The 27,414-nt window shown below is 38.5% G+C and overlaps 1 protein-coding gene across 1 annotated transcript in view; it reads right to left on the bottom strand.

Moving 5' to 3' along the window:
- Nucleotides 1–27,414, bottom strand: part of UTRN (utrophin) — a 567,700-nt gene that overhangs the window by 337,222 nt on the left and 203,064 nt on the right. The window contains exons 30-37 of the mRNA NM_007124.3: nt 26,979–27,140; nt 25,614–25,742; nt 24,711–24,884; nt 22,357–22,512; nt 16,386–16,556; nt 4,690–4,869; nt 1,776–1,904; nt 993–1,163 (exon numbers count right to left, since the gene is read on the bottom strand). Of these exons, the coding sequence (NP_009055.2) occupies nt 993–1,163; nt 1,776–1,904; nt 4,690–4,869; nt 16,386–16,556; nt 22,357–22,512; nt 24,711–24,884; nt 25,614–25,742; nt 26,979–27,140 (1,272 nt within the window). The remainder of the gene's footprint in view (nt 1–992; nt 1,164–1,775; nt 1,905–4,689; nt 4,870–16,385; nt 16,557–22,356; nt 22,513–24,710; nt 24,885–25,613; nt 25,743–26,978; nt 27,141–27,414) is intronic.

Genomic DNA, 27,414 nt, shown 5'->3' with positions numbered 1-27,414 from the left:
CCCCTTGGATTTTCATACACAAACGTCAAAGAAGTGCATATTTCTCAATGTCATCTTTTCAGATAACATCTACGTAGAAAAATTTTATATTTGTTTAAATAAAACTCAATAAAACAATTTTAATAAAACTAAATGCAGATAAATACCATCTGGGGTTGGCTAAGTGTGGGAAAACTAGCACTCTCATAAAGGTCCTATTTATTACCCTGTTAATTAAATGTCTAAAGCTCTTTATTAAATTTATAAAATCAGGTAGTACTTTCCTACATTAGGATTAAACTGTGAAATTATCTGTAACTTTTAGATTTGTCGTCATATAAAACAAAAAAAAAAACAAGTTCTGTGGTGTGTGCAATGTGAAGACATATATAGAGTGTGACCATAAAATAAAGGGTTTAATATTCATCCCTAGCTTGGGAATTAGTTTCATCATTTCATAACCAATTCTAACCTTTGACTGAGTCTTTGAAACCTTTTCTCAAATAGGTTATTTTCTTCAATACTAATTGCTTGTTTTCTCTCCTTCATATGCACAATCACAAATAAATACGGACAAATGCTCCATTCAAAGAAAAAGTGATTAAAAACATTTTAATTTAAAAATTGTTGGCCGGGTGCAGCAGCTCACACCTGTAATTCCAGCACTTTGGGAGGCCAAGGCGGGCAGATCACTTGAGGTCAGCAGCTCAAGACCAGCCTGGCCAAGATGGTGAAACCCTATCTCTCCTAAAAAAAACACAAAAATTAGCTGGGTGTGGTGGCAGTTGCCGGAAATCCCAGCTACTTGGGTGGCTGAGGCAGGAGAATAGCTTGCACCCAGAAGGCGGAGGTTGCAGTGAGCTCATGCCACTGCACTCCAGCCTCGGTGACAGAGAGAGAAAACAATAAAATTAAAATAATAAAACAAAATTGTTGATGTATGTACTGTATGACTATCATTTAGATACATACCCATAGGAAAAATGGTTTACTCTAAAAGCATAATTACTCACTTTGGCACTTTTGATATGTTGAGACACCTTTTCAAAGTTCCTATTCAGCTCAGCTAACTTTGGTTCTACAAGCTCCCTGCTTGAGCTTCCACGGGCATTCATCAAAATAAGGGCTTGATCGCGGACATTTTCAACCTGGAGGTTGGCATCATCCAGCTCAGATACTAAACGCTAATTATAAGAAAACACAAAATTATCTCATGGGAAAAATCAAACCCAAACATGAGTGTGATGCTTATACAGAAGGAAAGGTAGTTTAAATAAATATCTGGGATCCCCAGTAAGAGATTTCAGCATAATCAACCAGGTGAGAGCTGTTCACATAGGACTCATTGGAGAACACAGAGGTAAGTAATTCTCATTGGAAAATACAGAAGTAAGACTCGCTGGAGAATACAAAAGTATGTAAGACTCATTGGAGAGTACAGAAGTAAGACAGACTCATTGGAGAATACAAAAGTAAGTAAGACTCACTGGAGAATACAGAAGTAAGCAGCACTCAATGGAGAATACAAAAGTCAGCAATCAGCAAGACTCATTGGCATCTTATGTGAATAGGTCTTACTCCGGTTGATTGTGCTGAAATCTCTTACAAGTCTTTCAATTTCAAGTTCGTCTCTTATTTTGTCTCTTATTGTCTCAGTTTCTCCCATCAAAATAAATGTTAATGAATCTAATGCTTGGGAGGAATGAGAGCTAAGTAACTTAGAGCATTCCAGAAGAGAAAACATGACAACAAAACATGCCACTCCCAAAAGCGTTACTGATGTCTGTGTTTGCTACCTTCACAATTTCTTCCTGTTTACTTGTTGGTTTCTTTTCAATTTCATCCAATAGAGCTTCAGCTTGATAAAGCCAGGTACTTATGTGAGCCACGTTCCCATCAAATATTTCTAGCTGGTTCTGATGGTTCTACAAAGGAATTAATAAAATGCTTACATAACCATATGAAATATTTAAGATGATAATCTTAAAAGAGATTTAAAAGACCTTCAAAGAGCAAACTGTACCATGAATTTAAAGGAGAGCTTTCACCTTCCTGCAGAGCTCTTCTTCAGTGAATAACTCATCTTATTCCTAAAAATGCACATCTATGGTGCTTAACACTTTTTAAATTTATTTGATTTAGACCTCAGCACAATAAAAAGTTGAAGTAGAATAAAAGGTGAAAGTTTCTTTTTCAATTTCAATGCAAGTTCATCTCTTATTCCTTATTCTTATATTACAACTGATCTGATTTGCCCTCTTCAATCTTTTTTTCTTTTTTCTTTTGAGATGGAGTCTTGCTCTGTCACCAGCCTGGAGTAGAGTGGCACAATCTCAGCTCACTGCAACCTCCACCTCCCAGGTTCAAGTGATTCTCCTGCCTCAGTCTCCCGAGTAGCTGGGACTGCAGGCTTGCACCACCATACCCAGCTAATTTTTGTATTTTTAGTAGAGACGGGGTTTCACCATGTTGGCCAGGAAGTCTTGATCTCTTGACCTTGTGATCCACCTTCCTCAGCCTCCCAAAGTGCTGGGATTACAGGTGTGCGCCACCACACCTGGCCCATATTTTTAAAAAACTCATTTAAGGAATAATTTTTTAAAATGATGAAAATATGAATTGAAAAAGATTCTGTATGCTCTGCTCAAAGGACAGTGCCTTTGTATCCTTACCTCAGTATCACCAGCCCTTAATATTACATCTGGCACAGACCACAGCAAGATGTACTGAAGCAGGACATGAAATGTGCTTGACAGAACAGATTTGAAAACAGAAGCAAGAGTTAAGCAGATTATGACTGGGAAAAACAGTTAATCTAAGGCAAGAAGTTAGAGTGTGACCAAAAAGGGTAACGAGACTTATGATGAAATTAACCTTTAGCAATTATATTTTGTGGGATAAAAGAAACTGGAAAATGCTTAGACAGTAAAAGTTTTTACAAAGAAAGAAATCATTAATCTATAATATGAAACATAGTTGAAAAAAGAAAATGTAGGCTGGGTGTGGTGGCTCACGCCTGTAATCCAGTACTTTGGGAGGCCCTGATGGGAGGATCACTTGACCTCAGGAATTCAAGACCAGCCTGGACAACATGGTGAAACCCCCTCTCTACAAAAAATAAAAAAATTAGCCGGGTGTGGTGGCGCATGCCTGTAGTCCCAGCTACTCTCAAGGCTGAGGTGGAAGGATCACCTGAGCCTGGGGAGGTCGAGGTTGCATACCACTGCACTCCAGCATGGGTGACAGACTGACACCCAGCCTCAGAAAAAAAAAAAAAGTGAACAAATAAACAATATAAAAATAAAACAAACTTGCCCTTGTACCCCTGAACTTAAAATAAACATTTTTAAAAAAAGAAAATGTGAACTAATAAATGATATGAGAAAATATCAACAGTGATCTGGATTCTAAGTAGGAAGAACTGATGAGTGCCAGACTTGTTTACCCCTATTAAGCAGGTAAATCAAATGTTCTAACAGCACTAGAAAGATACTGCTTGAATGGAGAGTTTGAAAGGTGTAGACTGAAGAATACAGAAATAAGGGCCATAAGAATGTGAAATAAAGCTAGTAATTAAAAATTAATATATAAAATATTTAATGAGCATATTCTATGTGCCAAGAATCTCATATTCACTATTATATTCAATATTTAACAACTCTGTTAGGTATATACTTTTGTTCTCATTCTGTATATATGGAAATTTAAGCTTAGTAACATTAAGTAACTTAGCTAAAGTTAAACAGATAATAAGTCATGGACTGTGGATATAAATCTGTTAGAGATCAAGAGCAAAGCCCATGCTCTTCACTGCCCTACACATCCTGAGGAATTTAAATAAATATTCAAACACATGATAATGTATTTTTTATGTCTCTATCCATTACCTAGTAATTCTATAAATTTGATAAAAGTCCTATCTCAGGTATTTCAGAATTAAAAAAAATTATAAATGACAATGCCTTCCTCAGCAGGGGAGGGTGGGGTGGCCATATATTCACAATTAGTATCATAGGAACATAAAACCATATAAAAATTAAATGGTAACTATTTCCATGAGATGCAAATTTACAGAGCAGTGGCATAACCAAAGACTAACACATATACAATATTTAATAATTATAATCATAGCAAAATCTAAAATTGGTTGTTTTGCATATAGTTATTTAAGAGCACTACATGTTTAAGGCTCATAATCAATCATTGCAAAACTGTATGAGATAGATATAATAATGTCCATTTTACAAATTAAACAACTGAGGTTTAGAGAATGTTTAAGTAACTTTACCAGTGTTACCAAGCTAGTAATGAAAATTTTTACATAGGCCGTCAGATGCTAGAGCCTGTGCTCTTAACCAGTATGCCATTATTCAAACACTATGAAGATTTTATATAAAAATAGCTTCTGATAGTACGAAAATCAAATACAATATGAAATCATTAAAATGAAACAAATAAGGTGCATTTACTAAAATATGAAAGTACCTCATTCCATGCAGATCATGAATATTTAGAAACACTGTAAATTCTTTCTAGTTATTACCTTTCCAAAGAAAAAATAAAACCTAGTCTAATGAAATTAATTCACAAGCAAAACATCACTGTGACACACAGTAAACAGGATTTGAAATTTAATCAAAGTTGTATTCATTTAAAAAATAACTAGAAGAGAGGAGAAGATTTCATCATTTACTTTTTCCTGAGACATACCATCAAGGTATTGCACCAATCTTCAGTCCAGGTACGAACTCGGCTCCACCCAGCGTTAAGGACGCAGAGCCTCTCTTCTAAAATAGGCTCACTGCCCTCAATCAAGTTTTGCAGGGCAGCACTACTCTCTGTGATGGTATTTAAATCAGCTTTTCTCTTTTCCAGATCCTTCAGAACATTCTAGAAAATAAAAACACCAAGACCTACTTGATGCTTCAGAATATTATAAAAGTATATACAACCTTAAATTATTAAAAACTTTTCTGCCACATATACAAAGTAGTCCATGACTCCCTATATAATTTACAATGTCAAAGTTTACAAAATTCCCAAACTTATTAACATAGTGAGAATTCTTAAGTTCCAAATGGAAAACAAAATGTGTAATTCAACAAATACCAGTGAGTGTAACACACTCAGCTGTGGGAAAGCAATTATTTCATTTATTTAAATATAAATCCATTTATTACATATGAATGCCAATTACCTTCATCATCACTCTAAATGTAAAGGCTCAATTTCATTTTCAGTAACTACAAGCTGGCAAAGCAGAAGGATCCTAGAACTCACAACTTAAAAAAATTCACAATGAATTTATCTCCTAGATTACCAGAGGAAACTATCGATGTGTACTATAGGTACTTGCAAGGATAACATCTTACAGCTGGGTGATTTCACATATAATATACTGAATAAACATTACAAAAAAACATTTCATGTAAGTAACTCACAAGAGAGCAGCAAGTCTAAGCTTTGGTCTTACAACTGTCATAAGTGCAAAGATAATACTCTGGATGGTATGATGATAAAGTGATCGGCACATTCGTAAGTTTCACCAGGCAAAGTATATAGTCACAGAATTATAGAGAGAGCATGAGTTCCACAATTAAAACTACAAAGCTCTTTCAATCAAAAAGCAATATGCATGTATCTACCCTACTGCTACTATTATTGACCATTTTTTAAATCAACATTTAAACCAATCATTTTAAGGAGCTCAAGTTTATATTTCTACATTAAATCACACCTTGGAAAGCATACCAATTACAAATTCACAAATGAGTCCAGGTTTAAACACTCACTTGGCCATGTCAATTACTGGCATATTTATGACAGAACTGAAATACTACTTTCCAATATTATTCTCTAGCAAGGGGGGAGAAAATAAAGGATACCCAATAGCTATGCTCTCAGCAATTATTAATAAGAATCTTTCATTTCTTCAGTGGGCATGTACTGATTGACTAGAATAGCATTTAAGAACTATAAAAAATAATGAACTACAAGTAATTACATCTAAATAGTACACATACTTTTTTACAGTAAAAAAGATTACATTGAAAATAGTTATATTTAAGTTATGGAATAAAAACAGTATTCAGAAATGAAAATATTATTTATTTAAGCTTTGCATTGAAAATAATTTTACATAATCTTTAAGTGCAAATACATTAAAATGTGGTGAAATCTGCATGTTCCTTAAATCTGAAAAGACAGTGATAAAAAGATGGTGGTTATTAATATATACTGATGTTTCATTTGATTTACTCTAATGAAGAGAATGTGCTGTGAATTTGTGACTTGTATATATCATCTTTATCATTTCAATTCTGAAATAAGATTAAATGGAAACTTAAGAGCATATTGTTCCAAAAGAAACAAATTTTTCATTGCTTTGAGTCTTTACCTAAAAAAGCTATGAGAATCAGCTGAAAAACAAATTGAATTTATGAGTATATGAACATGGATGTTTAAAAATTGAATATATAAAATCAATATCACCTATGTACCAACAATAAGCACTCTGTAAAAAAACCGAAAAGTATATTTTTACATAGCAATAAAAATAGATATGTAGGAATAAACTCCTGTGCATATATGAATAATGTTTATAAAGAAAAAAATCAAAACATTATGTAGGAATGTGAAAGAATTTAGGACAAAAATGAGACATATATGTTACCGAATAGAATTAATATAACAAAGATATCAATTCTGCACTACACAAATGTATGAATTCAAGGCAATTCAAATCAAAATTTCCAATAGAATTTAAGAATTTAACAATAAAAATTCTAAAGTTCATATAAGATATATACCAAAAATGAAGCATAAAGAGAGGGAACCCATTAACTGCAGTTAAAATATACTATAAAACATGGCTAAACATTCTAAAAACTGGTACATTTCATGGGGCCAGATCAGTGGAGCAGAAAACAACGAAAGGCAACAGGAAAATAAGAATATATGAACTTAGCATGTCAAATCCATGGGGACAAGGTTAATTACTCAACCAATAGCACTAAGATAATTGGTTATCCTTTTGGAAAGAAGGTTAGAGCCTTACCTCACGAAATACACCAAAATAAATACTGGAAAGATTAATGCATTAAAGGTAAAAAGATGAAACTATAAAAGAGCTAGCAGAGGAGGTGGCTGGCAAGATGGCCAAACAGGAACAGCTCCAGTCTGCAGCTCCCAGCAAGACCAAAACAGAATGCAGGTGATTTCTGCATTTCCAACAGAGGTACTTGGTTCATCTCACTGGAACTGGTTAGACAGTGGGTGCAGCCCACGGAGGGTGTCGCTTCACCAGGGAAGCGCAAGAGGTTGGGGAACTCCCTCCCCTAGCCAAGGGAAGCCATGAGGGACTGTGCCGTGAGGTACGGTGCTATCCAGCCAAGATACTACACTTTTCTCAAGGCCTTCACAACCTACAGACCCGGAGATTCCCTCAGGTGCCTACATCACCAGGGCCCTGGGTTTCAAGCACTAAACTGGGCAGCCGATTGGGGAGACACCAAGCTAGCTGCAGGAGTTGTTTGTTTGTTTTTTTTCACACCCCAGTGGTGCCTGGAACACCAGCAAGACAGAACCATTCACTCCCCTGGAAAGGGGACTGAAGCCAGGGAGCCAAGTGGTCTAGCTCAGCAGATCCCATCCCCATGGAGCCCGGCAAGCTAAGATCCAACGGCTGGAAATTCTCGCTGCCAGGACAGCAGTCTGAAGTCGACCTGGAATGCTGGAGCTTGGTGGTGAGAGGGGCATCCACCATTACTGAGGCTTGAGTAGGCAGTTTTCCCCTCACAGTGTAAACAAAGCCTCCAGGAAGTTCAAACTGGGCAGAACCCACCACAGCTCAGAAAAGCAACTGTAGCCAGACTGTCTGATCTCTGAAAGAAGGGTGGCAGCCCCAGCAAGGGGCTTATAGAGAAAACTCCCATCTGCCTGGGACAGAGCACCTGGGGGAAAGGGCAGCTGTGAGCAAAGCTTCAGCAGACTTAAATGTTCCTGCCTGCTGGCTCTGAAGAGAGCAGCGGATCTCCCAGCACAGAGCTCGAACTCTGCTAAGGGACAGATTGCCTCCTCAAGTGGGTCCCTGACCCCTGTGCCTCCTGACTGGGAGACACCTCCCAGCAGGGGTCAACAGACACCTAATATAGGAGAGCTCCAGCTGGTATCTTGTGAGTGCCCCTCTGAAACGAAGCTTCCAGAGGAAGGAGCAGGGAGCAATCTTTGCTATTCTGCAGCTTCCCCTGATGATACCCAGGCAAACAGGTCTGGGGTGGACCTCCAGCAAACTCCAGCAGACCTGCAGCAGAGGGGCCTGTTAGAAGGAAAACTAACAAACAAAAAGCAACAACATTAACATCAACAAAAAGAAGGACCATGCAAAAACCCCATTCGAAGGTCACCAACATCAAAGATCAAAGGTAGATAAATCCACGAAGATGAGGAAAAACCAGCGCAAAAATGCTGTAAATTCCAAAAACCAGGATGTCTCTTCTCCTCCAAAGAATCAGAACTCCTTGCTAGCAAGGGAACAAAACCGGATGGAGAATGAGTTTGATGAATTGACAGAAGTAGGCTTCAGAAAGTGGGTAATAACAAACTCCTCCAAGCTAAAGGAGCAAGTTCTAACCCAATGCAAGGAAGCTAAGAACCTTGAAAAAAAGGTTACAGAAACTGCTAACTAGACTAACCAATTTAGAGAAGAACATAAATGACCTGATGAAGCTGAAAACACAGCACGAAAACTTCATGAGGCATACACATGTATCAATAGCTGAATCGATCAAGCGGAAGAAAGCATATCAGAGATTGAAGATCAACTTAATAAAATAAAGTGTGAAGATAAGATTAGAGAAAAAATAATGAAAATGAACAAACAAAGCCTCCAAGAAATAAGAGACTATGTGAAAAGACCAAACCTACATTTGATTGGTGTACCCAAAAGTGACAAGAAGAATGGAACAAAGTTGGAAAACACACTTCAAGATATTATGCAAGAGAACTCCCCGAACCTAGCAAGACAGGCCAACATTCAACTTCAGGAAATACAGAGAATGCCACAAAGATACTCCTCCTCAAGAAGAGCAACCCCAAGACACATAATCGTCAGATTCACCAAGGTTGAAATGAAGGAAAAAATGTTAAGGGCAGCCAGAGAGAAAGGTCAGGTTACCCACAAAGAGAAGCCCATCAGACTAATGCAGATCTCTTTGCAGAAAACCTACAAGCCAGAAGAGAATGGGGGCTAATATTCAACATTCTTAAAGAAAAGAATTTTCAACCCAGAATTTCATATCCAGCTGAACTAAGCTTCATAAGCGAAGGAGAAATAAAATCCTTTACAGACAAGCAAATGCTGAGATATTCTGTCACCATGAGGCCTGCCTTACAAGAACTCCCAAAGGAAGCACTAAATACGGAAATGAAAAACCAGTTCCAGCCACTGCAAAAACATACCAAAATATAAAGACCATGGACACTATGAAGAAACTGCATCAACTAATGGGCAAAATAACCAGATAACATCATAATGACAGGATCAAATTCATACATAACAATATTAACCTTAAATGTAAATGGGCTAAATGCTCCAATTAAAAGACACAGACTGGCAAACTGGATAAACAGCCAAGACCCATCCGTGTGCTGTATTCAGGGGACCCATCTCTTGTGCAAAGACACACATAGACTCAAAATAAAGGGATAGAGGAATATTTACCAAACAAATGGAAAGCAAAAAAAAAAAAAATGCGGGGGTTGCAATCCTAGTCTCTGATAAAACAGACTTTAAACTAACAAAGATCAAAAAAGACAAAGAAGGGCATAACAGAATGGTAAAGGGATCAATGCAACAAGAAGAGCTAACTATCCTAAATATATATGCACCCAATACAGGAGGACCCAGATTCATAAAGCAAGTTCTTAGAGACCTACAAAGAGACTTAGACTTCCACACAATAATAGGGGGATACTTTAACGCCCAACTGGCAATATTAGACAGATCAGTGAGGCAGAAAATTAACAAGGATATTCAGGACTTGAACTCAGCTCTGGACCAAGTGGACCTAGTAGACATATACAGAACTCTCCACCCCAAATCAACAGAATATACATTCTTCTCAGCACCACATAGCACTTATTCTAAAATTGACCACATAATTGGAAGTAAAACACTCCTCAGCAAATGCAAAAGAACAGAAATCGTAACAAACAGTCTCTCAGACCACAGTGCAATCAAATTAGAACTCAGGATTAAGAAACGCACTCAAAACCGCACAACTACAAGGAAGCTGCACAACCTGCTCCTGAATGACTTCTGGGTAAATAACGAAATTAAGGCAGAAGTAAAGAAGTTCTTTGAAACCAATGGGAACAAAGACAAAACATAACAGAATCCCTGGGACACAGCTAAAGCAGTGTTTAGAGGGAAATTCATAGCACTAACTGCCCACATGAGAAAGCAGGAAAGATCTAAAATCAACACCCTAATTAAAAGAACTAGAGAAGCAAGAGCAAACAAATTCAAAAGCTAGCAGAAGACAGAAATAACCAAGAGCAGAGCAGAACTAAAGGAGATAGAGACACGAAAACCCTTCAAAAAATTCAATGAATCCAGGAGCTGGTTTTTTGAAAAGATTAATAAAATAGATAAGCCACTAGCCAGACTAATAAAGAAGAAAAGAGAGAAGAATCAAATAGTCACACACAAGAAAAAGATAAAGGGGGTATCACCAATGATCCCACAGAAATACAAACTACCATCAGAAGATACTATAAGCACCTCCACAAAAATGAACTAGAAAATGTAGAAGAAATGGGTAAATTCCAGGACACATACACCCTCATAAGACTAAACCAGGAAGAAGTTGAATCCCTGAATAGACCAACAACAAGTTCTGAAATTGAGGCAATAATTAATAGCCTACCAACCAACAAAAGCCCAGGACCAGATGGATTCACAGCTGAATTCTACCAGAGATACTAAGAGGAGCTGGTACCATTCCTTCTGAAACTATTCCAAACAATAGAAAGAGAGGGACTCCTCCCTAACTCATTTTATGAGGCCAGCATCATCCTGATAACAAAACCTGGCAGAGACAAAACAAAAAAAAGAAAATTTCAGGCCAATATCCCTGATGAACATCAATGTGATAATCCTCAATAAAATGCTGGCAAACTGAATCCAGCAGCATATCAAAAAGTGTATCCACCATGATCAAGTCGGCTTCATCTCTGGGATGCAAGGCTAGTTCAATGCAAATCAATAAATGTAATCCATACACAAATCAATAAACGTAATCCATCACATAAGCAGAACCAATGACACAAACCACGATTATCTCAATAGATGCAGAAAAGGCCTTTGATAAAATTCAATACCCCTTCATGCTAAAAACACTTAATAAACTAGGTATTAACTGAACATATCTCAAAATAATAAAAGCTATTTATGACAAACCCACAGCCAATATCATATTGAATGGGCAAAAGCTGAAAGCATTCCTTTTGAAAACTGGCACAAGACAAGGATGCCCTCTCTCACCACTCCTATTCAATATAGTATTGGAAGTTCTGGCCAGGGCAATCAGGAAAGAGAAAGAAATAAAGCGTATTCAAATAGGAAGAGAAGAAGTCAAATTGTCTCTGTTTGCAGATGACATAATTGTATATTTAGAAAACCCCACAGTCTCAGCCCAAAAACTCCTTAAACTGATAAGCAATTTCAGCAAAGTCTCAGGATACAAAATCAATGTGCAAAAAATCACAAGCATTCCTATACACCAATAATAGAGAGCCAAATCATGAGTGAACTCCCATTCACAATTGCTGCAAAGAGAATTAAATAGCTAGGAATACAACTTACAAGGGATGTGAAGGAGCTCTTCAAGGAGAACTACAAACCACTGCTCAATGAAATAAGAGAGGATACAAACAAATGGAAAAACATTCCATGCTCGTGGATAGGAAGAATCAATACTGTGAAAATGGCCATACTGCTCAAAGTAATTTTTAGATTCAATGCTATTCCCATCAAGCTACCATTGACTTTCTTCACAGAATTAGAAAAAAACACTGTAAATTTCATATGGAAACAAAAAGAGCCCATATAGCCAAGAAAATCCTAAGCAAAAAGAACAAAGCTGGAGGCATCCAGCTGACTTCAAACTACACTATCAGGCTACAGTAACCAAAACAGCATGGTACTGGTACCAAAACAGATATATAGACCAATGGAACAGAACAGAGGCCTCAGAAATAACACCACACATCTATAACTAACTGATCTTTGACAAACCTGACAAAAACAAGCAATAGGGAAAGGATTCCCTATTTAATAAATGGTGTTGGGAAAACAGGCTAGCCATATGCAGAAAACTGAAAGTGGACCCCTTCCTTACACCTTATACAAAAATTAACTCAAGATGGATTAAAGACTTAAACGTAAGACCTAAAACCATAAAAACCCTAGAAGAAAACCTAGGCAATACCATTCAGGACACTGGCATGGGCAAAGACTTCATGATTAAAACACCAAAAGCAACGGCAACAAAAGCCAAAATTGACAAATAAGATCTATAAACTAAAGAGCTTCTGCAGAGCAAAAGAAAGTACCAGCATAGTGAACAGGCAACCTAGAGACTGGGAGAAAGTTTTTGCAATCTATCCATCTGACAAAGGGCTAATATCCTGAATCTACAAGGAAATTCAACAAATTTACAAGAAAAAAACAAACAACTCCATCAAAAAGTAGGTGAAGGATATGAACAGGCACTTCTCAAAAGAAGACATTTATGTGGCCAAAAAACATATGAAAAAAAGCTCATCATCACTGGTCATTACAGAAATGCAAATCAAAACTACAATGAGATACCATCTCACACCAGGTAGAATAGCGATTATTAAAAAGTCAGGAAACAACAGATGCTGGAGTGGATGTGGAGAAATAGGAATGCTTTTACACTGTTGGTGGGAGTGTAAATTATTTCAACCATTATGGAAGAGGTGATTCCTCAAGGATCTAGAACCAGAAATATCATTTGACCCAGAAATCCCATTACCGGGTATATACTCAAAGGATTATAAATCATTCTACTCTAAAGACATGCCCACGTATATTTATTGCAGCACTATTCACAATAGCAAAGACTTGGAATCAACCCAAATGCCCATCAATGTTAGACTGGATAAAGAAAATGTGGCACATATATACCATGGAATACTATGTAGCTATTAAAAATGTGAGTTCATGTCCTTTGCAGGGACCCGGATGAAGTTGGAAACCATCATTCTCAGTAAACTAACACAGGAACAGAAAACCAAACACCACATATTCTCACTCATAAGTGGGAATTGAACAATGAGAACACATGGACACAGGGAGGGTAACATCACACACTGGGTCCTGTTGGGGGCTGGGGGGCTAGGGGAGGGGTAGCATTAGGAGAAATACCTAATGTAGATGACGGGTTGATGAGTGAGACAAATGACCATGGCACGTGTATACCTATGTAACAAACCTGCACGTTCCGCACATGTATCCCATAACTTAAAGTATAACAATTAAAAAAAAGGAAAAAAGCTAGTAGAAAAAAAAAGTGAATAATTAAATGAACCTGGAGTTGAGGTGGTCTTTCTAAGCACTAAAGGCAGAAATAATGAAGAAAAAGATGGATTTTGTTCATTAAAAAATATTCAGAAGGATTTACTTTTTTTCAAAAAAAAAATAAAACTTAAAAAAACAAAAAAGGAAGCTACAGTAATAAAAAAATTTGTTTGCAATCAAACACAACTCACTAAGCATTGATAATCAGAACAGATAAAAAGCTCCAAATTAAAAGACCAATTTGGTGATAAAAAATGGTCAGAATTAGAGTAAAAAGCGGTATTTTTAACAGCGCTATAGAAGACCTATAAACTTGTCAAAAATGTTCTAATTAAATAACCAAAACATGATGTCAAGTAGAAATTCTCATTCGCATGTGGTAGGTGCACTATTTCTGAAGAACAATTGCATAATATGTATAAGACTTAAAAATGGATATATTCCTGTCCCTTGATCAATACTTTTAGGGTTAAGAATTTATCCTCAGGAAATAATTATGAATGTATGATATGGTTTAATATATTCACCATAGCGTTATCTATAATAATGAAAATGGTAATAATTTAAATGGACATGAATAGAGAAATGAGAAAATAAAAAAATTAAGAATGAAATACTATGCATATCTCTAATATGCTATATAAAAACAAGTATAGGTAAAGAAAAATGCCAAAGATGTAAGTTTTTAAAAGAAGGTCAATAAATACTAGTTACAACAAAATTTATTTTTAAATATATGCTTTTGCATGTGCACATCGAAATGTGCTCAAAAAAATGAAAAAAAATAGCATTGTTTGATTATAGGTGATTTTTGCTCCTGTTTTTTTGTATTACACTAGGCAAATTTCATTCAAATAGCTTCTATTACTTATGTTACTAATTTAAAAAGTAATGATTTTCAAAGTATACTGCACGAGGATGATAATATGTCCTTGAAAAACTTAAATTTAACAACAATAAAGTTTGGTGCCTTTGTTTTGCATTCAACCACAACACACCGATGACTTGCAATGCTCATTTCCCTCATACATTCCTTTCTTCACTTCCTTTACACTCACACTGCTCATGGCATGATCACGCTTTTCATGAGCTTTTTTCTAAACTGAGAATAGTCTTTCCAGTGTCTACTATCTTAACTTTCTCCCAGCTGTCATCTCCACAGAGCATTCAAAGTAAGCAGGAGTTGTGTCACCCCACAACCTCTCAGCACCTTCTCCTCAAGGCCCACAGCAAACGTGTAGAGCTGTAGAGGGTGTCAAACTGATACTTGTGGCTTTATATAAACATCAGTCACAGTATTGATCATTTATATTCAGCACTTCCCACTAGTATACTCGCTTCTTTCTCAGGAAAGAGATTTAGGAAAACAGAATGCCTTGTTAAAAGAACCACTCATGTTCCATTCAATTCTTTCTCTACTGCAGAAGCCAGAACCAGCAAATCAACTTTCTAATCTCTGTGATTTCAAAGTACAGGGTTAAAGAAAACTCTTGTATTGATTTTTTAAAATTCTATTCCTAAGTTCTTTACATCTGAAAGTTTGCAATAGAAAGATTACTTATTGGTTTTAAAATGTTATTAAAGAAGAATTAAACTCAGCACAATTCTTTGTAAACACTCTGTAAATATGTGTCATTGATTTTAAAGGTGGTGAATTAGGCTTTTAAGTACTATATAAAAATAATACCTATAAAGGCCTTGATGATCCATGAATGTAATGCTTTTGGAATCAGGATAAAAATATCTTATTAAAAGAGCTGTTTTACAAATAACCCCATTAAAAAGTGGGCAAATAAAATGAACAGACACTTCAAAAAGGACATACTAGCAGCCAACAACACACGAAAAAATGCTCAACATCACTAACATTAGAGAAATGCAAATTGAAACCACAATGAGATACCATCTCACACCATTTAGAATAGCTATTATTAAAAAGTCAAAAAATAACAGATGTTGACAAGGTTGCAGAGAAAAAGGAACACTTTTATACTGTTGGTGGGAATGTAAATTAGTTCAGCCTCTGTGGAAAGCAGTTTAGAAATTTCTCAAAGAACTTCAAACAGAATTCTGATTACTGACCCAGAAATCTGATTACTGGGTATATAGGCAAAGGAAAATAAACTGTTCTACCAAAAAGACACATGCACTCATATGTTCATCAGCACTATTCACAAGAGCAAGGACATGTCATCAACCTAGGTGCCCATCAATGGTGGATTGGATAAAGAAAATGTGATACATATACACCATGGAGTACCATACAACCATAAAAAAGAATGAAATCATGTCCTTTGCAGCAACATGGTTGCAGCTGGAGGCCATTATCCTAAGTGAATTAATGCAGGAATGGGAAACCAATTACCACGTTCTCGCTTACAAGTGGGGGCTAAACATTGGGTACGCAAGGCCATAAAGAAGGGAACGATAAACACTGGGGACTAGTAGAGGGGCGAGAAACAGAGGGAGGCATGAGCTGAAAAACTACCTAGTGGGTACTATGCTCACTACCTGGGTGATGGGATCATTCATACCCCAAACCTCAGCATTACACAATATATCCATGTAACAAACCTATATGTGTACCCCTTAATCTAAAAGTAGAAATTATAAAGAAAATAAAATATAATCATTATTTTTAAAATATTTTTTCTTAGGACAGAGAAGTGGAAAAACAATGCAAAAAAGAAAAGGCTAGATTTAATATAAAATGGAGGGACATGGTATCCAACCAGGTCGCCCGAACAAATGCCATGTTACGCTGGCATCATGCTGGTGTTTCATCTGAACTGCAACTTACTTTAGCCCAGGAAATTTCTGTATCCAAGTCACCAAGCAGACCTTCTGAAGTGGACTTCTGTACCAATTCAGTTTCAGTAGCAGAAAGCCATTCAGAGAGAGAAGCAGCCTCTTTCTTCATTTTCCGGGCCAACTGTGATGCTCTTTCCAGATCCTGTTTTCCTTCTGTCACCTGAGACGGAGAGAGGCAGGGAGAGACTGAGACTGAGATGGGAATGAACATAAATGAGAATGAATCAGAATGTTAACTAAAGATCCAAACTGATTCATATATAACCCCCAAGACATACATAACCTTTGTCTTAGCACCTTAGAATCCTCTAAGCTTGCATTTCTGCAAGGAGGCAATATGCTGTAGTGGTTAAGTGCCAGGCAATCCTGGGTTTTCATCTTAGCTCTATCATTAATTTCCTAAGTGATACTGGCAGAGGTATAGCCCTCAAAAGATTGGTATGAGGCTGGGCACAGTGGCTCATGTCTATAATCCCAGCACTTTGGGAGGCCGAGGCAGGCAAATCTTTTGAGTCCAAGAGTTTAAGACCAGCCTGGGAAACATGACCTCATTTTCTACAAAATGAAAGACCTCATTTTGTAAAAAATACAAAAAATTAGCCAGTATGGTGGTGCGTGCTCGTAGTTCCAGCTGGTCAGTAGGCTGAGGTGGGAGAATCGCTTGAGCCCTGGAGGCTGGGGCTGCAGTGAGCCGTGATCCTGCCACTGCACTCCAGCCTGGGCAACAGAGCAAGACCCCGTCTCAAAAAAAAAAAAGATTGTTATGTGTATTAAGCGAGAAAAACACACATAAAAGGGCAGAAATAAAGTTGAAAAATCACTAGTATCTATTATAATTTTGAACATAAGATATCTTAGAATCCTCTCCATGAAGGAAAAATACGGTATTATAGTAACTTGAGGGGAAAATAGCACCATTTTCACAATTATATGTTTTATAATTAACCACTTTAACTTAAAATGCAGTACACGACTATACAAACCAAACCTTATTATTATTTTGCTCTCATTGTTGTTGACAGAAAACAAATGAACTTAACTAACATTTACCAAGCTCTTAATACAGCTTCCGTGTTGTGCTAAGGAATCTTACACACGTATGCAATAAAATTCACAAAGCCTCTTTCTACTTTATGGATAATGAAAATGAAACTTAAAGAGGTTAAGGCCAAGGCCAGGGTGGTACAATCTTTGGATTGAGCCATGCCATTCTGGCTTCTACCACCATCACTCCCAGACATTGCCCTTGCTAAGTTCAATAATGACCCCAATGGCAACTGATCTAATTAATATGTTTATGTGGACATCATATTTAACTTTCAAAATATCCAAAACAGGTAACTGCACTCTGTCAAAATACCATCTTCCCCTAGCTTTCCAGACCTAGTACTCAACTGTGTCCCTACCACTTCTTGCTACTTACATTAGTTTCTTTTGCAAGCTCATCTTCCTGAGATTTCTTACTAAATGATGTAATTCTTAAGACTTGGTTGAGGGCCCTCTTCTTTCACTATATCCTGTTCCTAGACAATCTATCATCCCTGATTACTTTAATTATGACCTCTATGCAGATGACTCATAAAATCCACCTCTTCAGTCCAGATATATTCTCCAGACCTGAATAATCATGTGAGTACCCGACATTTCCAATTAACATTCTCAAAGGTACTTAAAATGTCAACATGTCCAATACATACCTGTGATTTCTGCATGCTTCTACCTTTTTTTTTTTTTGAGACAGAGTTTTCACTCTTGTTGCCCAGGCTGGAGTGCAGTGGCACAATCTTGACTCACTGCAACCTCAGCCTCCCAGGTTCAAGTGATTCTCCTGCCTCAGCCTCCCGAGTAGCTGGGATTACAGGCACATACTACCACACTCAGCTAATTTTTTTTTTTTTTTTTTGAGTAGAGACGGGTTTTTGCCATGTTGACCAGGCTGGTCTCAAACTCCTGACCTCAGGTGATCCACCACCTTGGCCTCCCAACGTGCAAAGATTACAGGCATAAGCGACCGCACCCGGTCCTCTATCTTTTCTTACAGCACCCATCTCAATGGCCACACCATCCACATCATCAAGCCAGAAACCCAGGGGTCATCCTTCATCTCTCCTCCTGGACCAAGTCCTGTTGATTTCACTTCCTACATATGTCTGAAATCAATTCACTCACTCCATCTCCACTCTCCATCCTAGTTCAAGGTACGACCATCTCTCACCAAGTGTACAATGACTTCGAAACCAGTCTCCTCACATCCACTCCAGCCTCCCTCCAATTCCTCTTCCAAAATGCAGTGAGTAATCCTTTAAAAGACATATCTGAGTATGTAATTTGCCTACTAAAACCTGTGCAGTAACTGCTTAAGACACAGATTTTAATCTGTAACACAAACTCTATGACATTGGCAGGATTTTGTCTAATCCTATCTCCCTAGCACCATGTTCCTCACACTGGCTCTCTCTGCTCTAGCCACATAAATGTACCACACTGCCTCCTGCCTTAGAGCTTTTATATATACTGTTTTATCAGTCTAGAAATCTCCTCGTTTCACCCAGGTTACTCCTACCCAGACTTCAGATCTCGGCTTATGCATCACCTCCTCAGGGAAGCCTTCCTAACACAAGACTGGGTGAAACCCCCCTTTACCTATACTCTTAAAGAACCATGTACATTCTTCATAACTCTTCAGACTGATAATGTGACATCATCTCATGTAACTACTCAATGTTTTTCTCTTTCACTACCCTAAGTTCCATTAGACAACGAGATAATTTATATCTTTCCTCATCACTGTCTCCTTGTATAATTCCTGACACAGAGTAAAATCTCGATTGAGTGAAACTTTAAATGATAAAATTAATTAATACTAAAATTATAGTCACAATTGGAGAATTAGTGCAAAAACCAGCAATACCATTCCATTCATAAAATGCCCAGTCAGTGAATAAATATAATAATATTTAACGAATAACCAGCTGTATAATTCCAAAAAGAAGCTCTAAGGTGTGTGTTCCAGACATGTAATACATCAAAATGTATCACATCAACAATCTAAGCTTGCAGAAGTGAGATCAAAATCACCCAGAAAAAGTATAAACTGGTCGTTCTGATTTCAACTGAAAACAAAATTTCAGCTATTTTTCTCTGGGCTTATATAGAAACTTCAATATTACCTCAACTGGAAGTAGTTAATATTTCCTAACTGAAGGAGGATCCAAAATACTATCAAACATGGGTTTTCAATATTACCTATTAAGGTTTCACACTTCCACACATTCTTTGCTCTCCTGGTTTCAGGGCAAAAATTCATTCACTCACAGTAAATGCTCAACAACTCCTGCATGGATTCACTAAAATGCCCAAATTAGAGATATTTCTTGCCAGGATTTCAAATCCTGGTAGATTAATGTGAACTTCTTGCCACTGGTTATTTACTAGAGCCCTGATGTTTTAACATTTCTCGGTAGACTGTTCAATTTAGAAATCTAAGGACCAACAACTTGAGTTTTTACAGGGATTATTATTTCCCATTTTTCCTACATGAAATGGGAAAACATTAGGACTAAAAACAGAATGTTTCTCACAATTAAAATTACACTTAGAAAAATCTTACATGTTGCGACTAGAAAAAAGCCAACACCGGCTACTGCTATCCATTGAAATTTGGAATTATTAACATTTATTTTTTCCCTTGTATTTCTTTGAAGTACTAATGAGAGGTGACAGCATGCTGGCAGTCCTCACAGCCCTCGCTCGCTCTCGGCGCCTCCTCTGCCTGGGCTCCCACTTTGGCAGCACTTGAGGAGCTCTTCAGCCCACCGCTGCACTGTGGGAACCCCTTTCTGGGCTGGCCAAGGCCAGAGCCCACTCCCTCAGCTTGCAGGGAGGTGTGGAGGGAGAGGCGCGAGCGGGAACCGGGGCTGCGCGCCACGCTTGTGGGCCAGCTGGAGTTCCGGGTGGGCTTGGCGGGCCCCGCACTCGGAGCAGCAGGCTGGCCCTGCCGGCCCCAGGCAATGAGGGACTTAGCACCGGGCCAGCGGCTGTGGAGGGTGTACTGGGTCCCCCAGCAGTGCCAGCCCACCGGCGCTGCGCTCAATTTCTCACCGGGCCTTAGCTGCCTTCCTGCGGGGCAGGGCTCGGGACCTGCAGCCCGCCATTCCTGAGCCTCCCACCCCCTCCATGGGCTCCTGTGCGGCCGGAGCCTCCCTGATGAGTGCCACCCCCTGCTCCACGGCGCCCACTCCCATTGACCACCCAAGGGCTGAGGAGTGCAAGCCCACGGTGCGGGACTGGAAGGCAGCTCCACCTGCAGCCCGGGTGCGGGATCCACTGGGTGAAGCCAGCTGGACTCCTGGGTCTGGTGGGGACGTGGAGAGTCTTTATGTCTAGCTCAGGGATTGTAAATACACCAATCGGCACTCTGTATCTAGCTCAAGGTTTGTAAACACACCAATCAGCACCCTGTGTCTAGCTCAGGGTTTGTGAGTGCACCAATCCACACTCTGTATCTAGCTACTCTGGTGGGGCCTTAGAGAACCTTTATGTCTAGCTAAGGGATTGTAAATACACCAATTGGCACTCTGTATCTAGCTCAAGGTTTGTAAACACACCAATCAGCACCCTGTGTCTAGCTCAGGGTTTGTGAATGCACCAATCAACACTCTGTATCTAGCTACTCTGGTGGGGCCTTGGAGAACCTTTGTGTCCACACTCTGTATCTAGCTAATCTGGTGGGGACATGGAGAACCTTTGTGTCTAGCTCAGGGATTGTAAACGCACCAATCAGCGCCCTGTCAAAACAGACCACTCGTCTCTACCAATCAGCAGGATGTGGGTAGGGCCAGATAAGAGAATAAAAGCAGGCTGCGCGAGCCAGCAGTGGCAACCCGCTCGGGTCCCCTTCCACACTGTGGAAGCTTTGTTCTTTTGCTCTTTGCAATAAATCTTGCTACTGCTCACTCTTTGGGTCCACACTGCTTTTATGAGCTGTAACACTCACTGCAAAGGTCTGCAGCTTCACTCCTGAAGCCAGCGAGACCACAAGCCCACTGGGAGGAACGAACAACTCCAGATGCGCTGCCTTAAGAGCTGTAACACTCACTGCAAAGGTCTGCAGCGTCACTCCTGAGCCAGGAAGACCATGAACCCACCAGAAGGAAGAAACTCCAAGCACATCCGAACATCAGAAGGAACAAACTCCAGATGCGCCACCTTAAGAGCTGTAACACTCACCACGAGGGTCCACAGCTTCATTCTTGAAGTCAGTGAGACCAAGAACCCACCAATTCCAGACACACTAAGTCTACCACAATGAACATATATTACTTGTAGTATCCTTAGAATAATTTATGGAATATCAGTAGCCATTGAAAGTATAAATATTAGCCTGAATTAAATATTAAAAATAAATTTTTTTTAAAAACAGTGTCTCACTCTGTTCCTAGGCTGGAGTGTAGTGGTGTGATCTCAGCTCACTGCAACCTCTGCCTCTCAGGTTCAAGCAGCTCTCCCACCTCAGCCTCCCAGGTAGCTAGGACTACAGATACTCACCACCATGGCTAATTTTTTTTTGGAAATTTGTTTTGTTTTTGGAGGTTTTCATTTGTATTTTTTTGTAGAGACAAGGTTTCATCATGTTGCCCAGGCTGGTCTCAAACCCCTGGGCTCAAGCCATTACCTGACTCAGCCTCCCAAAGACCTGGGATTACAGGCGTGAGCCACTGTGCCTAGCCAAAAATAAATTTCTATGTAACTATGAATCACTGTAATATTACCACATACATTTAAAGAAATATAACAATTATTACAATAAATTGAAAACACGTATGAATCTCATAATTTTCAAACATGCATTTTCCAAAAAATGAAATTTAAAAATACATGAGAGAGAACGAGAGAGAGAGAGAGATTGAGAGAGAGAGAGAGAGAGACAGAGAGATGAGCTGTGGGGCTGCTCTCCTCACCTGTGCGCCCAGGTCATTGTAAAGAACCTTCAGGGAAGTCAGCTGCTCATCCATCCCTTTTGGGTTGTCCGTTTGCTGTTTCTGGACAATATGTCTTCCTGTTTTAATCACAGTTTCCACTTCAAGTTTGACTTCACTCAAAGTTTTATACAGTTTCTTTAAAACAAACAAAGAAAAAGACAAATTACACACTGTGGTGACAACTTGCCAACTGGCATCATGTCAGACCACAGCTTACACAGATTGACAGCCAAGACCTAACTATGGTGATCAAAGGCCATCATCTTTCTCAGATTTGGTCTGAAGGTCGAGTCAAATGAAATCAAGCTTGTAATAACTTCTTCAAATCTGACAAGAAAATAAACTAATAGAGTTTATGCTCATTCTTTCAAAATCTCAGACAAATGCTTATGAAAGTACTTGATAATATAAATATTTTTCCTACATAAAATGGGAAAACATTAGGACTAAAAACAGAATGTTTATCACAATTAAAATTACATTTTTAAAAAATCTTGCATGTTATGACTAAAACAAGCCAACACTGGCTACTGCTGTCTGTTGGATTTGGAATTATTAACATTTATTTCTATTTCTCAGAAGTACTAAGTCTACCACAATGAACATATATAATTTGTATGATAAAAAATACAAAACTCGATATATCAAGATGTATATAACTATAAGTAAACAGATTTCTGATGCAAATCAAAACCACAATAAGATACTATCTCACACCAGTCTGAATGACCATTATTAAAAAGTCAAAAAACAACAGATGCTGGCAAGGCTGCAGAGAAAAGGGAACACCATACACTGTTGGTAGGATTGTAAATCAGTTCAGCCCCTAGGGAAAGCAGTTTGGAAATATCTCAAAGAACTAAACATAGAATTATTATTCAACCCAGAAATCCTATTACTGGGTATATAAGTAAAGGAGGATAATCGTTCTACCAAAAGGACACATGCACTCCCGTGTTTATCACACCACTACACACAATAGCAAAGACATGTCATCAATCTAGGTGCCCATCAATGGGGGAATGGATAAAGAAAACGTGGTACAAATACACCACGGAACACTACACAGCCATAAAAAATGAAATCATGTCCTTTGCAGCAGCATGAATGCAGCTCAAGGCCATTATCCTAAGTAAATTAATTCAGGAACAGAAAACCAAATACTAAATGTTCTCACTTATAAGTGGGAGTTAAACAATGGGCACACATGCACATAAAGATGGAAAGCAAAGACAATGGGACTCCAAAAGGAGGGAAGGAGGAAAGGGGCAAGAGCTGAAAAACTACCAATTGGGTACTACATTTATTATTTGGGTGATGGGTTCAGTCGAAGCCCAAACCTCAGCATCATACAATATATCCATGTATCAAACGTGCACATGTACTTCCTGAACCTAAAAGTCTTCAAAAATTAAAAATAAAAATAAATTTAAATATAAAAAAAGAAATCGTAGTTCTGTAGGTCAAATTCAGAGCTGTCTTCTTCCTAGTTACCTGAAACCAAAAAGCTTTATTCTAAACAGCTTCTCTTGACACCTATACATCATCATCTCAACATCTCATAGGACGCTGTCATGTAACAGACCCCTGAACTATGTATGTTCCATGAAGTCAAGGACAGCACTTTCTCTGATTACCATTATGTCACAATAATCAAATAAATACTTACATACATGCACATATATATTAAAATTTATCCTTTGTTTTGAAAAGCACAAAGAACTGTCCCTATACCTCTCCTGTCCTAAAGAGTCTCATCTTAAGTTCTGTGATTCTCAAGCAGAACACTAATTCTAAGATTGTGTCCCCTTAGCCACATTATTTTTAAATTTCTATTCAATTGAATTATAAAGTTCAAGACTAAAAAAGTAATAAGGCCTTATATATCATTTCTTCTTTCCTATCTTAAGGTTTAAATTTCTATTGAAATTTTTATTTTCCTAGAAAATGGAATTTTTACGATATCCATTCTAAGTATGGTTCTTCTAGCTAATTCAAATTTATCCTTGAAAACTTTGCTTATTAGTCACACTCTGCTGAAGCCCTCCTAACTTCACATGGTGATTAAGCTGTATTTCTTTTGTTTTGGTTTTTGTCATCATGTTATATACATGTCTATTCTAGTTTCCTTAGCTATCTCTCTTATCTCTTCTAATTTCTTTGGAGGGAAAGACCACACTTCTTATTTTTTAACACGTTTTCCATCATCAATCCTTATGTTTAGCACACTGTAGACTAGTGATCACTGGACACACTAGGCATGTACTTGCTAGACCAAGCCATAACAGCTGCTGAAAAAGCCACTGGATGTGCCAATCACCCAAAAGCCTCACCATACACTTGTCCAGGTGCGTCTGTATGACGTCAGGGTCTACGTCCTTCACATCCAGAACGTGAAGTTCTGCTTTCACGCCATCCAGCACACGCTTGCAGTCCAGCATGCGCTGCTCGAAGTTAGCTGGCTTCTGGAAAAGCTGGAACTTTGTGGACACCTCTCGGAGTTTCCTCTGTTTGCAGAAATGAAAATATGCAATTCCCATCAGGATGATTATCTCTCTCATCATGAGCATAACAGATACTACTAAAAATTTGTACCATAAAGTACCAAAAGAAAAAAATTCAGAAATATGACCCAAAATAAAAAACTCCTAATGAATCTCAGTGAGGGTACCCGATCACCTAAGTGAACTGCATAGCCCAGTGTCAAAAATTACAACACTCAGTGTCTCAATCTCAGAAGTAATAGATTTGGATAAGAAATTTAGATAAAGCTGACCTCACTGGAATTAAAACTTCATGTTCAAAAAGATAGTTCAGGAACCTAGAACTCAAAATGCCCTTCATCACAAGTTCAGAGTGAAAGTCAATGTCATATCAACCATGAAAGAACTAAATGATGCTGCATCCAATTCATGCTCGGCCTGCCCACAGCATCAGCCACACGATACTGACAGAGGCTCTGCATTAAAGAAAAAGTGTATATAAAGCTAACTTCTAAATCTGGCTCACTCTCTTGTTTCTCATCTCAGCTATCAAAATCAGATTTCATATTTTTCCACACATGCAACAATTTGTTTCTGCTGCCCTAGGATGCAACCTTCAACACATCATCACTCCCATCCCATGGTTTACATCACAAAGAATACAAACGGTGCCCAAGTAATCAATTCTTTCTCTTTTTTGAAGAAAATTCCCAACAAGTTGAAAAGTAAAAGGAAGCTCCTGGCCTTCTTTACCTGTAGCACATCCATCTGACTTCCTCCTCTGGCAGTCCTACTCTCTGGGGAGGTCAGGGGCTGAGAACGCATATTTCTTCTCAACTCCTCTAGGGTTAGCTCATGGGCTGAGATCTCTGCTTGGATTTTCTAAAAAGAGATTGGAAAGGGGAGAGGATGTCCTTTTTTTTTTACTTAAGTATAAAAAGAGACAATACAAAAGTTCTATATCGTTGTGTAATACATGATATCGTATTTTACATAATGTTGACCTCCACAGAAGCTTTAATAAGTTTTTGTAGGCCAGGTGCGGTGGCTTATGCCTGTAATCCCAACACTTTGGGAGGCCGAGGCGGGTGGATCACGACATCAGGAGTTCAAGACCAGCCTGGCCAAGATGGTGAAACCCCATCTCTACTAAAAATACAAAAATTAGCTGGGCACGGTGGCGGGCGCCTATAATCCCAGCTACTCGGGAGGCTGAGGCAGGAGAATTGCTTGAACCTGTGGGGCAGAGTTTGCAGTGAGCCGAGATCGCGCCACTGCACTCTAGCCTGGGCAACAGAGTGAGAATCCGTCTAAAAAATAATAATAATACGTTTTTGTATAATAATAATAATATGGCCCACTGCATGGTATGACTATTGTACATGACGCACCTGCTAAGGGCTTTGCATTTGTCGTTTCTAATGTTCACAACTTATTTATAAGGAAGGAATTGTCCCAACTTCACAGCTAAGAAAACTACAATTTAAAATATACAGGACTTTTCAGCCAGGCACAGTGGCTCACGCCTGTAATCCCAGCATTTTGGGAGGCCGAGGAAGGTGGATCACCTGAAGTCAGGAGTTTGAGACTAGCCTGGACAATATGGCAAAACCCCGTCTCTACTAAAAATACAAAAATTATTGGGAGGCCGAGGCAGGCAGATCACTTGAAGTCAGGAGTTCAAGACCAGCCTGGCCAACATGGCGAAACCCCGTCTCTACTAAAACTACAAAAAATTAGCCGGGCGTGGTGGCGCGTGCTTGTAGTCCCAGTTATTCGGGAGGCTGAGGCAGGAGAGTCACTTGAACCCAGGAGGCGGAGGTTGCAGTGAGCCAAGATCGTGCCACTGCACTCCAGCCTGGGTGACATAGTGGGATTCTGTCTCAAATAAATAAATAAAATAAAATAAAATAAAATAAAATAAACTATATAAGACTTTTGCCAGAGTCTCACATAGAAAGCAAGAGAACTCCAAAACCCAAATGCTGCCCTGTAAGTAAGGTCAATCTTTCCCATTGACTCTCGGTTTTGGAGAGCAGGAGGGGTTCTCTTATAGTTGAGGAGGCAATTACAAAAGCTCTCTTTACAGCTCAAAAGCCCTCAAATGCACGGCAATACCTGAGCTTCCTGTGGAACTTGGAAAGCATCTATCCTGTCAGTCAGGTATGTGGTGAGCTGTTTGTCCAGCTCCCCCAAGCTCTCTTGCAAGACTTGAAGCATCTGGTCAGTTTCCCGCAGCACCTGGAGTTGCTTTTCCAAAGAAATCTGCTTGCTCTCTGCCTGCACAAAGGAGAAATTGAATCATTAGTTGCCCAACACAAATATAAATAGCAGAATATATATATTCTGGCCACTAAGAAAAGACCATAAAAGCTTTCATCCAAGACTTTAGCTTTCTTTATAAATAAATAATAATTACTAATGATAACAGTGAAAATGTCCCACTAGGATCTTATGTACCATGCAGCTGAATTACTAATTATTACTTCTTTCTATATATAATGTTGAAATACAAAAATGTAAAGGTTTCCCATAAGATGCATTAAACAGAAGA

This window comes from Homo sapiens, chromosome 6 (genome assembly GCF_000001405.40).
Source record: "Homo sapiens chromosome 6, GRCh38.p14 Primary Assembly".
Lineage (NCBI taxonomy): Eukaryota > Metazoa > Chordata > Mammalia > Primates > Hominidae > Homo > Homo sapiens.
Note: the sequence above shows the minus strand (reverse complement) of the source record. Positions and strands in the feature narration are given on the sequence as shown.